The sequence below is a fragment of the Homo sapiens genome, chromosome 5 (genome assembly GCF_000001405.40).
Source record: "Homo sapiens chromosome 5, GRCh38.p14 Primary Assembly".
Taxonomy (NCBI): Eukaryota; Metazoa; Chordata; class Mammalia; order Primates; family Hominidae; genus Homo; species Homo sapiens.
The window spans coordinates 164,824,008-164,839,711 of NC_000005.10; the positions used below are offsets into that span (position 1 = coordinate 164,824,008).

General features: G+C 37.7%; 1 long non-coding RNA gene across 1 annotated transcript in view; it reads left to right on the forward strand.

The window, feature by feature from the left end:
- The window catches only part of LINC03000 (long intergenic non-protein coding RNA 3000), a 765,030-nt gene that overhangs the window by 527,303 nt on the left and 222,023 nt on the right, over positions 1 to 15,704 (forward strand). The window lies entirely within an intron of this gene.

Genomic DNA, 15,704 nt, shown 5'->3' on the forward strand with positions numbered 1-15,704 from the left:
AGAACTTCTTACTTTTCAATTCAATATATTGCATGATATTTTAAAATATAAAACCCAGCTGTCATACTAAGTTACCCTGTCTGTGATTTAACGTTCTAATAAAGAGTAAAGTTAAAAACAGAGTCTGAAGAAATCTTACAGAGATTGCATATGTAAGAAATGATTTACTAGTTCTGTATCATCCAACCATCCACCAGGGCAACAGTAAGCGATTTGAACAAGATAATAAAATATCTTAGAAAAGTTAATTTGGACCTTAACTGTAAGTAATTACCACTCTAGAATTATTAAATTGTTTAAAAACATTCTTCACTCACAATCTGCTAGTGGTTGGTTACACTAATTCAGAAGGGGGATTAAATTAGTGCAAATATGGACAGTATTATTAAAAGCAAGAACAAATTTTCTTCCTATTTCCTAAGGACAAACAACTATGAAACTATGTGCTTTCTCCACCAATCTTTAGTTACAAGTAAAGAAATGGATAATTAGTTAATGTCTGTAGTATTAGGAAGTGGGTAGGAAACATGTTGCACGTTGGATGTAAGAAGTGTATTTCTTCATTTCACAGTGGCAGGCTTTAATCTAAATAAGTAGATAAAGGAATCCATTCCAAGGAGATGCTTTTGGATTCCACACATTAGAAGTAAATGTCAGCTTCTTTCTATTAGTTTGTATTCTCATAATTAAGTAATATGACTATGACCCTGCTGCTTATATAGCAACTCAGAAAGGGTGTCTATTTAATTGTCAGGTTATTCGTTATCACTTGTATATGGTATGGCCGAGAGGACTAAAGAATCTAAACTCATTGCTCTAATAGGAAACACTTCCCGATGTCACTGTCATTAGATTGCTGCCACCTGAGCGAGGACAATTCAAGTAAATTGGGGGCTGTAAACCTGACGAGATGTGCTGTTAAGCCATCCCAGTGGAATCTGACACTTGATCAGCAATTTCACTGAGGAGAGGTGCACAAAGATCACCAGTATGCAAGGAAAAGCTCTATACCTGATGACCTTAGAGATTTTGTTTTCTTTCCGGAGTAAGAGAAAATGAAAGCAGGACCACAGATTAGCTACTTAACACTACAAAAATATTTCAAATACTTAAATTATTTCTTCATTCTAAACAAAAGAAAGCAAATAAACAACAAAAACAAAATCAGAACAAATGGAAGGGAAAATAGAGAAATGCTTAGAAGTGATAAACAGGAAACCCAGAATTTTCAATTACCTGAATCAAAACAAGTCAACTGATAGTAAATAATGAAGAGAATTTTCACACCCTTTCTTTCCTGAGGAATATGCATTAAATTTTATATCTGATAAGTAAACATCTGTTAAAATAGATGAGAGATTCTTTAGAAGTCGTATTCTGTCCACAGGATTGTTGCTTCCTCTGACACTAATGAATGCTTTGTACATACACATAAAAGAAATTTTTTTCCTAGTTGAGTTATTTTCATTGTGATGTGAGGCAAGACTTTTACGTGGATCTTGATGTCGATAGCTAAAATTAGAAACTTTCAAGGTGACATCAAATGAATACTTAAAAGGGATAGAGCAAATACCAAGCTGTTGACTGATTCTGCAAGATCCATTTATTAAAAATATATTCGTTTGGGGGAGTTTAACAATAGGTACACATGGACATACAGAGTGGAATAATGGACATTGGTGTCTACAGAAGATGGGAGGGTGGGAGGACGGTGAGGGTTTGTTGTTGTGCTTTCAGAAAAGTCTTTAAAGGAACATACAGAAGTAAACAGAGTGCATTTTAAAAAGGAGTAAGAGGGAAGCTCCAAAGTCCAAATTTAAAGCAAAAAAGCATTTTATGGATCTCTCTCTCCTGCCCGCTCCCGCAAAGATAGATGATTCATTGATTGATAGATAGATAGATAAGATAGATCAGATAAATGTTTTTAATAACCAACATTAAATATTTGGTGACCCAGACTCCAACAAATACAAACAAAAATTACTTAAGCAACAGCTGTCATATTTAGGAAAACAAAGGGATCACATTCAAGGAAAAGGTGGGATTAAAAGAATCAAGATATTAAGAAAAGCCTGTGCAAATGAGAATATATAAATATATAAGATTATATATGCTTGTGAACACAGAAAATCTGAGACAGGTCTCAGTTAATTTAGAAAGTTTATTTTGCCAAGGTCGAGGACGTGCCCTTGACACAGCCTCAGGAAGTCCTGATGACATGTGCCCAAGGTAGTTGGGGCACAGCTTGGTTTTATACATTTTAGGGAGACATGAGACATCAATCAATATATGTAAGAAATACATTGGTTCAGTCTGGAAAGGCGGGACAACTTGAAGCAAAGGCAGGAAGAGTCAAAGCGGGGAGGGGACTTCCAAGTCACAGATAGGTGAGACATAAACATTTGCATTCTTTTGCTTTTCTGATTAACCTTTGCAAAGGAGGCAAGCAGATATGCATCTATCTCAGTGAGCAGAGGATAACTTTGAATAGAATGGGAGCCAGGTTTCCCCTAAGCAGTTTCCAGCTTGAGTTTTCCTTAGTGATTTTTGGGGGCCCAAGATATTTTCCTTTCACATGCTTATAAATATGCATATGAACATTTAGTTATTTATGCACATAAACATATCTTTTCTTATTGTGTATTTTCTTTTATATAGTTCTATATTTGTATTAAATCCCCCAATTTTTAATAAATTCTTATTATCCTACACTTTATGTATATAATTATGTATTTTATCAGTATATAGACTGATGATATAGGAAACACTGGCAATTTGAATCCACCTTTACATCATAGACAGATAATACATAGATATAGATGAAGAGAATGTCACTGAAATATATTAATAATCAGAATTATGAATTTCCAGATGACCCAGATTTTATAACATCAGCACAGTATGTATGATGGGGTCATTTCCCTATAAAATCATAAATTATTGTGTTTGCAGGGAGGGGAGGTTATTAAGTACATTTTTTTCCCTTAAAGGATAGTCAGAAAATCTGGGTGAAGTTTGTCCATCAAAAATTCATAGAAATCTATTTTGATGATAGCCTTTTCTTTCCAAACATAAATATATATAAAAACTTTTGAGAAGAGAACTTAATAAAAAAATTAGAACATACATAAATTAATATTTTTCTAGGTGCAAATAACAGTCACTGTGAATTGGATAAATGAAACAGAAGATTTATTTGCTTACATTACTGAAAGTCTTATATTGTGCTGTGTGATGGTTAATACTGAATCTAATCAACTTGATTAGATTGAAGGATGCAAAATATTGATCCTGTATATGTCTGTGAGGGTGTTGTGAAAGGAGATTAACATTTGAGTCAGTGGACTGGGAAAAGCAGACCCATCCTTTTTCTGGGTGAGTGCCATCTAATCAGCTGCCAGCATGGCTAGACTACAAAGCGGCAGAAAAATGAGAAAAGACTATACTGGCCTAGCCTGCCAGCCTGCATCATTCTCCCATGCTGGGTACTTCCTGCCCTTGAACATGAAACTCCAAGTTCTTCAGTTTTGGGAATGAGACTGGCTTTCCTTGCTCCTCAGCTTTCAGACAGCCTATTGTGGGACCTTGTGATCATGTGAGTTGATAATAAATTCACACACACACACACACATACACACACCCTATTAGTTCTGTCCCTCTAGAGAACCCTGATTAATACAGATTTTGGTACCAGGAGTGGTTCTAGAGGAACAGAATATTAAGGATGGAGTTCTTTCGTTGGTTTTGGAGTTTCTGGAGTTGGCTGCTTAATATGATTAGACCCAAAAATACTAAGGACTCTACATCTAATAGTATGGAGAACACTGATAGTCCTTGGCATAAACTGTTTAGAGAGTTATGCAAAATAAATGCATTTGACACTCCTGATTCACTACTCACGAAAGGCAAGGAATTTAGTGGCTCTATACATAATACTTTTGATCATATTTGGAGAACCAGGGAACATAATGCAGCTGTTGCTCCTATGTTCAGTGGACAAAGTGACAAAAGAAAATGATGAAATCAGGGATTCTGTCTCCTGGCTTCAGAAGCAGATACTGAGCCTCAAATGTGCTAAGATCGCCCTGAGTCAGAGTCTTATCTCCTGTAGAGAAGGAGCTGAAATTGTGGAAAATCAGACACAAGCTCTTATCATGCGAGTGGCTGACCTGCAATAAAAGGTGGACGCACAACCTTGCCGGGAGTCTACTGTCAAAATGAGGGCATTGATTGGAAAAAGATGGGACCCTGCAAGTTGGAATGGGGATGTGTGGGAGGACCCTGATGAAGCTGGGGACACTGAGTTTGTAAACTCTGATGAAATCTTTTTGCCAGAAAAAACAGCGTCCCCATCCCCAGTAGTGGCAACATTCCCTCCCCAACCCAGGCTGCCATCAGCCTTTCCACCTTTGTCTGAGGAGATAAACCCTGCACTGCCTGAGGCAACAGTGATGGCCTCCCCTGAGGCAGTTGCCAGGCAAGATAATGTTAATTCTCTTCATGAGCCACCCCCAACACCCCTGTTTGCTTCTAGACATATAACTAGACTAAAGTCCTGGTGGGCCCCTATAGGTGAGGTTGAGAGTGTGACCCATGAGGAGGTATACTACACTCAAAAAGAACTGCTTGAGTTTTCAAATTTATATAAATAGAAATCTGGACAACAGGCACGGAAATGGATATTAAGGGTGTGGGATAATGGTGGAAGGACATAGAGTTGGATCAGGCTGAACTTATTGATTTGGGTCTACCAAGTAGGGACTCTGCATTTAATGTTGCAGCTCAGGGAGTTAAAAAAGGTTCTAATAGTTTGCTTGCTTGGTTAGCTGAAATATGGATTAAAAGATGGCCCACTGTGAGCGAGCTGGAAATGCCTGATCTTGCTTGGTTTAATGTAGAGGAGGGGATTCAAAGGCTTAGGGAAATTGGGATGGTGGAGTGGATAAGTCACTTTAGACCTACTCATCCCAGCTGGGAGGGTCCAGAAGATATGCCCCTGACCAATGCCTTGTGAAATAGATTTGTGAGGGCAGCACTTGCATCTTTGAAGAGCCCTGTAATTGCTCTTCTCTGTATGTAAGATTGAACAGTGGGAATCACAGTCACTCAATTACCAAATTTAAATATAATGAAAATATTTGGATTCTGGGGTGGGGTGGGTGGGGGGCGGGCAGTGGCAGAGGCCAGGTGGCAGCACTCAACCATCAAAGACAAGGTGAGCCTAGCTATCGTAATGGACAACAGAGGCAAAGCGGCAATCAGAATAGCCTGACTCATGTAGAACTCTGGCATTGGCTAATTAATCACAGTGTTCCTAGAAGTAAAATTGATAGGAAGCCTACTCCATTCCTACTTAATTTATATAAGGAGAAAACTTCTAGGTCGAATGGACAAAAGACTAATTTGAAGTATAAAAAGAGAGACTCATGGCCCCTCAATCAATTTCCAGACTTGAGCCAGTTTACAGACCCAGAACCCCTTGAATGAAAGGGAAGCTGAGTCCTTTGAGGAAGGACCCCACTACACTACCTACAATTTGTGCTGTTAATCTTTCTCCCATCCTTCCCCAAGGAGACCTCCGGCCTTTTACCAGGGTAACTGGTAAAAAGGTGACAATACTTTGCAGGGCTGGGGCAAAGTTCTCCAGAAGGCCGTGTATACTCTGAATCAGTGTCCAGTATATAGTACTGTTTCTCCCTTGGCCAGGATTCACAGGTCCAGGAATCAGAGGTGGAAGTGGAAGTGGCACCACTCTCCTTCACTCCTAGTAATCCACCAGCAAAATTTTTGTTTCCTGTCTTCATGACATTATGTTCTGCTGGCCTAGTGTTCGTAGTTCCAGAGGAAGGAATGCTGCCACCAGGAGACACAACAATGATTCCATTAAACTGGAAGTTAAGATTGTCATCTGGACACTTTGGGCTCCTCTTACCTTTAAGTCAACAGGCTAAGAAGGGAGTTACAGTGTTGGCTGGAGTGATTGACCCGGGCTATCAAGATGAAATCAGTCTACTACTCCACAATGGAAGTGAGGAAGAGTACACATGGAATACAAGAGATACATTAGGGCATCTCTTAGTATTACCATGCCCTGTGATTAAGGTCAATGGGAAACTACAATAGCCCAATCCAGGCAGGACTACAAATGGCCCAGACCCTTCAGAAATGAAGGTTTGGGTCATTCTGCTAGGAAAAAAACCATGACCTGCTGAAGTGCTTGCTGAAGGCAAAGGGAATACAGAATGGGTAGTAGAAGAAGGTAGTCATCGATACCAACTATGACAACGTGACCAGCTGCAGAAATGAGCACTGTAATTTTCATGAATTTCCTCCTTTTTTTGTTAAAAACATGTTTGTGCATGTATACACTTGTACTAAGAAAATATCTTCATTTTATTTCCTTTTTATTTTATTATGTGAGATAAGATTTATTGACTTCATATCAGCATTTAAGTATTGTTAACCTATGTAATAGTATTTGGGTTGGGGATTGGTGCATTTATGGTTGTACAAAGGATAGTTGTATTATGTTAGGTGTAATTATGACCTTATGGTTGTCTTTATTTGAAGATTATGTATGCTCTCAGGAGATGTGTATGGCTTCAAATTGACAAGGGGTGGACTTGGGATAGTTAATACTGAGTGTCAACTTGATTGGATTGAAGGAAGATGAATCCTTCAGTTGATCCTGGGTATGTCTGTGAGGGTGTTGCCAAAGGAGATTAACATTTGAGTCAGTGGGCTGGGAAAGGCAGACCCACCCTTAATCTGGGTAGGTACCGTCTAATCAGCTGCCAGCATGGCTAGAATATAAAGCAGGTAGGAAAAAAAAAAAAAAAAAAACAAAAAATAAAAACGTGAAAAGACTAGACTGGCTTAGCCTTCCAGCCTACATCTTTCTCCATGCTGGACCCTTCCTGCCCTTGAACATCAGACTCCACATTCTTCAGTTTTGGGACTTGGACTGGCTTTCCTTGCTCCTCAGCTTTCAGACAGCCTATTGTGGGATCTTGTGATTGTGTGAGGTAATATATATGGGAGTTTATTAAATATTACCTCACACAATCACAAGGATATATATCTATCCTATCAGTTCTGTCCCTCTACAGAACCCTGACTAATACATGCTGGTTTCAGATATGGATAAATTCAGGGTCTCAATGTATATTAGCAAGCTCTCACCATAACTGTGTTCATTTTTCCTCTACAAGGGTTTAACTTTTAAACAAGCTTACTGTAAAATTGCAGTAAGGTTGCTGACTTACAGCCTTAAAATACCTCCTCACAATTCAAACTGGAATTACAGGACTACATTTGATAGGTTCATCTGGAGTCATTTGCCACATTTGGGGGTGTGTAAGGCAGCAAGTGGCTTAGGCCCAGGTCGCAGGCTCTCCCTTTATCTAAGGGTTAATTCAGTCCTACTTCAATTATGAGGGCTAACAGTGCAGAGGAAATATGCCCTGAGACAAATTTGTAGTAATGTTACAACTATTTGGAAATGAATATAGGAAGAAAAGATGAACTACCATAAAAGCAAACAATGTGATGAAGAATGCCTATGTGTACAATGAGAATGTATGAATGTTCAGCAGGAAATTAAAGAATAAAAAATTAGCAATATTGCCACAGTAATTTTTGTCAAGCCACATTGTTCTCATTTTACTAAAATGATTTTAAAATTTACAGATTTCTTTTTACAGTTTCAAATAAACCTGAGTAGACTTGTCTTTTGAGGAAAGCCAAAATATAGTAAATAGCAGCTTTGGAAATATCCAGCCTCTAGTTGTGACTGGTATTGTGTTTTGCTTTCTTCATTTAAAGCCTCATTCAACTTTATTCCTACTTGACTCTTTGCTTTACAGACTAATTTATCATTTTTTTAAAGGAACTCTCCTCTTTCTCCAAGCAGTGATCTGATTCTGACATTCCTTTTGCTTGTCTTTACTGAATTAGTATTGATTTTACAACACATTGTATTGTTAGAAGAAAAACCCTTTGGTTTAACACTTTCACTAAAATGTTGCTAAATGAATATAATATGCTATTGCCATGTTGATCATGTTTTGCTCAATGTTTAACTCCATTCATTAGAGTGGGGCTGTACAGCATTTGGAATGACCACAAAACACATAGATGGCTATGTTCCTTGCACCCAGTCCATTCCCATTTTCTATGCCCAAGATTATTCCAGTGTGGGCAGCATTCTTAGATAATTCAGAATGGTATTACAGTGCCATTAAACAAGAAAATAGAAAGTGGAATTCACTCTCTTTTGCAAAATAAATTATTCACAAAATTTGGTACATTAACTATAGAGGTAGTTAATTTCAGAATGCACATTTTACAACTCTGTAATAATAATCAGTTATCTAATATGACCATTGATTGCCCAATTTTACTTTAGTAGAGTTGTTAGCCATGACACACCTCTTTGCTGAAATTTCTAATAGATTGTAAGTAACTAAAGGGAAACCAAGGTGGTTTTCTGAAAAAAATTCTCCAGGCTAACATGTCACTCACGGAATAATAACCTGGAGTGGATGACAGTTCTCACACCAAGCTGCTTGACATCTGAACAGCTGCCAATGCCCTAGGAAATGTCACACCATCAGATACAGGCTCTGAGTGGGTGAGCAGCAAAGATGTATCTGGTAGAGGCCAGCACCCCAGGCCAGAGCTAGCACCCCAGGCCCCGTCATCCCATAAGTTTGAAGCCTGAGTTGAGCTGTCAGTTTAATAAATGAATAGCCTCTTTGTTTTGATCAGCATTGTCAAGGCTTATTTCAAAAAGGGACTGCGATTCCTCTCACAGACTAGCGCAGCCAAAGTCAATTGGCACAATTTCAAGGTGAATTTATTCATTCTTTATAAAGTTCTGTGCGCGAATATATCAAGACAGTTGAATAAATTGAAATAAATAGACTTGGAGTTACATATTCTCCCTGTAATTGAAATAGTTTCCCCCCAATATATTTATAGTAATAATTCTACCTTTACGAAACCTAGTCTAGCTACAGAAAGGAAAGCATAGAATTACCATTTTGATAACATATTTGGAAAATGCAACTGGGGCTAATATGTTGATAAGGGCACCTGAAAGTTGTCCTTGCCTTTAACTATCCCATGTTAAACTTTGAATAAAGCACAGCTTTACCACTTGATAAAGATGCCTGATTAGCCTGCATTGATGTGCAAATATTTACCTTGAATTTGGTCATTCTAAAGAGAAGTGCCCAAACGCTAGCTCTTTCTGTCTGCTTCATAGTACTTTGAATTTAAGTTATATATAGGACACTGAAATAAACAAAACACACACACACACACACACACACACACACACACAAAACAAAAGGCAGCAGCAGTGTTGATGTCCATCAGAAACGAGGAAGTCTATATGTTGTATAAAATTAATTTAACATGGGTCACCGTAGAGGCCACCGTTATGATTACTAATAATATCCAGTAGTTTTAACTTGTGGCTCCAAGATTTACTTCATTTTTTGAAACTTTTTTACTTATTTTGCAAACAAATGTACTCTGAGTCATAGTCAGCAAGGGTTACTGTAACAAAAAGCTCTCCTGGTTACAGTAGAAAAACCTCAAGTTTATCTGCATGTGATGGAGGGAGGAATTAATCTGGAACACTTACAGCATGCTGTTCTTAAAAGGATTTTCAAAGTATAAAATATCTTATCTAGAAAGTTTGGTTCCTCTTAAAATCATCAATAAGCCCTGGGAAATGCGGCAATCTGAGGTTTGGGAAGGAAAATGCTTTGACTTGATAATGAAGGACACCTGGGAGTGATTGGCGTTTGCTCACAGAAAAGTCAAATAATTGAGGTATAATGATGAGAAGGGGTTTAGAGAACAACTTAGTCCAATGCTAATCCTTTGAAAACTTAAAGCGATGTCTATGATTTTTTTTCCCCCAGTGACAAGCAATCTATAAAAGTGATCAAACCGATCAACTGAGAATGCCATTTCTCTCCCTTTATCACTGTTTATCTCATTCTTTTAAAGCAAACTGAAGCTCCCTCTCCTATCCATCAGTGTGTATATAAGCTCTGATGTGTGACCCATGGGCAAATTAGCATTTCTTAGCCCTGCCTGGAACATTATTTCATAAAACATAAACAATAAGTGTGTGAGTTACAGTCAGTCTGAGGAGATGTATGGCTTGAATAACATAAATTGCAAAAGGATATTTTTACTTCTGTGTCATTAAATATATATATATATATATATATATATATATATATATATATATAGCCAAGTAAGTTGTTATTGATTACAAGTCTTTTTTCATAGTTCTCCCAGTAAAGCCCAAGTGTATGAGCTGAAAACCTGAGCTCCAATTTTAGTAGATGAATATCTATACACTCGTAACATATTATCAAAGCAGTACCTTATTTGACGGTGAATAGAGATCATATTAATTTCAGAGTTCATCCTAACCCTAAGCAAAAGGGCATCTGTGGGGTCTGGAAGGAATAGCCATGGTGCCTTAGATGTAGAGGCTCTCTTGATGGTTTAAACTACTTGTTTTTATTTTTTATAATTTTTTTTCCTTTTCTTTTAGAGACAAGGTCTCTATGTTGTCCAGGCTGGTCTCAGACTCCTGACCTCAAGACATCCTCCTGCCTCAGCGTCCAGAGTAGCTGGGTTCCAGGCATGAGCCACCATGCCCAGCTCCCAAGCTACTTGTTGATTATCAAAATTTTAATAAGGGAAGCACTGCTGAGGAATAAATGACTTTAAACTCTAAGAACAAGTTGAGGCCATGAAAGTTGTAGGCACCTTCCATTTGTAGAGTCTACATTGTATCTGAACATAAAATAACCCCTTGAATAAAGAATTACAATGATATTACCTCAGGAGACCCTGCCTGAAAGACATAGTAGTTTTTCTTTTTTTTTTTTTTTTTTTTTTTTTTTTTTTGAGACAGAGTCTCGCTCTGTCACCCAGGCTGGAGTGCAATGGCTTGCTTGCTGTGACCTCTGCCTCCCGGGTTCAAGCAATTCTCCTGCCTCAGCCTCCCAAGTAGCTGGGATTACAGGTGCCCACCACCATGCCCGGCTAATTTTTTGTATTTTTAGTAGGGACGGGGTTTCGCCATGTTGGCCAGGCTGGTCTCAAACTCCTGACCTCAGGTGATCCACCCGCCTCAGCCTCCCAAAGTATTGGGATTACATACATGAGCCACTGCACCCGGAAGACATAGCAGTTTTTCATTGCCCATGTTTCTTGCCTTTCTTAAGCTGAAAATAAGCAGTTAGTATTTTCAGGGGATTCTTCAGGGAGTTTTTAATATAAGAATTTGAATTTGAGTCCTTTTCTTACCAGACAAAGAACTTTTAGTAATTTGTGGTTGTATTACTGATGGCTATCCAATTTCTCTTGTAATACTGGTAGAAGCATCCTGCTGTTCCATTATTTAGAGCTTCAAAAAACCTCTAGAATATGGGTCAGCAAACTTTTTTGGTAAAAAGACGGATCATAAATGTTTGAGTCTTTGTAGTCTCTGTTGCAACAACTCAACTCTCCAGCTGTGCTGTTGTAGTGTGAAAGCAGTTATAGATAATATGTAAATGAATGAACGCGGTTATGTTCCAATAAAACTTTATTTACAGAAACCTGGCCGGGCATGGTGGCTCATGCCTGTAATCCCAGCGCTTTGGGAGGCCGAGGCAGGCAGATTACCTGGAGTCAGGAGTTCGAGACCAGCCTGGCCAACACGATGAAAACCCATCTCTACTAAAAATTCAAAAATTAACTGAGCATGGTGGTGTGTGCCTGTAGTCCCAGCTACTCGGGAGGCTGAGGCATGAGAATTGCTTGAACCCAGGAGGAGGAGGCTGCAGTGAGCCGAGATCATGCCACTGCACTCCAGCCTGGGTGAGAGAGCGACTCTGTCTCAAAACAAACAAACAGACAAACAAAAAATGTTATTTACAGAAACCTATGGTAGGATGGAGTTGGTCTCTAGCCTGTTGTCATCCCCTGATATAGAATAGAAAATATGTAGGAAATGAGACTCTGTTGTTCTAATTCACATCAATAAATTAATGCAATCTATTGTTACCCCTTGGAGTTGAGATAATTCTTATTTATTTATTTATTTATTTTTTTTGAGACAGGCTCTCACTCTGTCACCCATGCTGGAGTGCAGTGGTGCAATCAAGTTGTCCTCCCACCTCAGCCTATGGCGTAGCTGGGACTATGGGCACATGCCACCATGCCTGTCTAATTTTTTTTAACTTATTTTTTTATAGAGAAAGAGTCTTGCTATGTTGCCCAGGCTGGTCTTGAACTCCTGGACTCAAGCAACCCTCCCACCTTGGCTTTCCAAAGTGCTCAATTGCAGGAATGAGCCTATGTCCCAGGCCTGGGATAATTCCTGACTAAGACTTATACTACCTTATTTTGCTCTTTAACACTCCTGTTAATCTAATCAACCAACTCAAAACTAGACAACAAAATACCAGTCAAATGTTAGATCTCAGTGTTTGTTAGCAGGTCTCAATATAATTAAGGTTCTTCAGTCACCAAAACTTTTACTGAACTCATCCAATCATCAAATTTTTTAGAGGACCTGCTGTGGGCTAGACAGGAGAGATTATAATGTCTCCATCACGGAACAAAACAAAATCAAACCACCAAATAAACAAATTATTTACATTGTAACCAGTGTTTTATAGAAAGAAAACTAAGGGGCTGTTATTGAGAATAGTGTGATGGGGATTGTACTTTCTATTGAGTGGTTTAGGAACCTTTTACCTTTTTCTTTTATTGGTTAGAAATAAAGGCAAAATAGGGCGTTGCTTGAGCATAATTTCAGTGGCAAGAATGGACTAATTAAATTAGGACATTTTAGAAAAATAAGTAATTTCCTCAGTAGGTAAATGTGACAAAATTCAAAAGGTGCAAAAATATATAAAGTAAATTTTCTCCCCGACCGCCCTTAACTACTCAGTTTCCCTTGCTAAAGGAAATACTATTATCAGTTTTTAAAATTCATTATATATATATGAATATATATTTACACACAGACACACACATACTAGAAAATCAGACTTGGAAGATAGATATATCAATTTCCTGCCTTTGTTATGTATTCATACTTCAGCATATACAAGCTCACTGCTACATTTAGAACTTTAATGATGGGTACTTTATATATTTCTAATTAAATACTATTATACAGTGTAGCAATAAAATTATTCACACTTAAAATTTTGCATGAGATATCTGTGTTAAGGGGCAATGGTTGATAAGTCTGTCACTTTTCTGAATATCCTGCAACCAGAGGAGTTAACTGCTGTTTTATTCCAGACTGTCTTATCAATGATGTTTTTATGACAAACACCCTAAAGATGGAGATGATGTCTCCCTCTGGAAACAAAGCAGATGTATTTACTGGTTAGCATAAAAGTTTCAGACTTCCTAAGCTCAAAGCTCCTCAGCTCTGAAGCAAACCCACCACAAAGGCTGCCCCTCCATGTTGCCCCTGTGGAACTTGAAAGGACAGAGGGAACTGTTGAGAACATGCATCTTGTGCAGCTTTCTGTCCCATGCATGATACTGCTGTGTATCTCTGGCCCAGGAGTCTCCAACCTTCTGCCAACATACGTGAAACTGTGACAGGCGATTTGTTAGCTCAGAAGTAAGGAAAAAAATATCAGATTCTTTAAAGTTTGTAATTATCTGTGGGATAAATTCCTAGAATGAAAATTGTTTAGCTAAAGATTAAATGCATTATAAATACATGTTGATCATTACATTAATATCAACATATATTAATAGCAACATATAATCTCTTCCTCCAATCTCGCTAACAAGTTGTATTACCTAACTTGATATTTGCCAGCTTGTTAAGTAAAAATAACATCTGATTGTATTTTTATTTTGCATTTTACAATGAATGACTCTAAATATTAACTCAAGTACTTAATCACTGTTTATATATATATATACATTTCTCTGGAATTCTCTATTTCTATCCTTCCTCATTTTTCTGCTGGTTTTTCTTACTGATTATTTAGAGCTCTTAAGGTATTAACAAATTAAATTTTTGTATATCAGACATTTATACATATTTCCCTGCAATATTCTATTGCCTTTTTACTTTAAGTTTCCTTTTAGGAATAATTTTTTTAAATTTTAAGCAGACAAATTTATCAATATTCTCTTTAATGGCTCCTAAATTTATGTGATATTAAGGCCTTTCCTACTCAAATATTATGTAAAAACTAGGTTTTGCTGCTTGTTGTACCTTTCTGATTTTATTTTCCACATTTAAATCTTTGATCCATCCACAATGTATTTTTGAGTAAGGATTAAGATATAGATCCATCTGCTTTCTTTTCCAGAATTAGGGTATTTTTGAAATAATCAACACCATGTTAGAAATCTTAATTGAGATTTGAAACAAAAAAGAATTTCCTCAAGAATAACTTAATCACACACTCGAGATAAACTATTAACTGAATTTACTAAACCATTAAATTAAACATTTCAACTAATTACCAAGATAGTACTGAATTTTAAGATTTGCTTTGGCCACCAGGCCTTCTTCACAGAGGGAGGGGATTGGCACATACTCTCTAGTGAGGTCATTTGCAGAACTTTGATTTCGATCATCCTTCCTCCTTTTCTTTCCTATTTCCTCCCTCCTTCCCTTTCTGTTCCCTTCTGTCCTTACTTATTTCCCCCTTGCTTTCTTTCCTTCCGCCTTCATTTTCCTCTCCCCTTCCCTTCCCTTCCCTCCCCCGCTCCCCTTCCCCCCTCCCTCTTCATTCCTCCTTCCTATTTCATGAATCAGACAAATCTCCCTCAAAGACCCATGACTACTGTCTATTGCAGAGCCGGTGCTTCCCATGCACATGTTTCTGTGTATCACTTTTTTTTTGTCTCTAGATTCCTTCTTCTGTGTCTTTCTGTGTTCAGCATTTCTCTACTTTTCCCATTGCACTGTTTCTTTCCTTTCCTGCTTTGGTGAGATGACCCCTCTGCATAGCCCTGAACTGCTGCTGCTTTCAGAAAACCTGTATCTCCTTCTGCTTTCTGGGCTCTTCTTACTCTACAGCAACTTTGTCCAACCTGTGACCCATGGGCCACATGCGGCCCATGACAACTTTGCAAGCTGCTCAACACAAATTCATAAACTTTCTTAAAACATTAAGAGATTTTGTTTGCGATTTTATTTTTTAGTTCATTAGCTATAGTTCGTGTTAGTGTATTTCAGGTGTGGCCCAAGACAATTCTTCTTCTTCCACTGTGGCCCAGGGAAGTCACAAGATTAGACATCCTTGCCTACAGATTCATTGCCTAAAAAGTGATTTATTTCTCACTAAAACTTTCTGGGACATTTCCTCAGGAAAAAAGATTGCAAATAAGCTTAAGTATTTTCTTCTTTTTTTTAGCTTTGTCTTTCAGGGTTGTTTATTATTGTTTATTTAATTTTATTTTTTAATGTTTGTAACTCAGCTACCCCCTTCATGTATGATTATATTTATTTTGCAATCATGAAAAAGACTATGATATTTTTGGTTAAAAGACCACTACTGCTATATCTTTAGCAAATGTTTTTGCTTTGTTACCTCTATATCAAATAGTCTGATTAAGTGATTTATGTATGTTCACTCAGATTATAATTCCTTTTCTTCAGACAAGCAATATGACCTTAAGTATAGAAATTATTA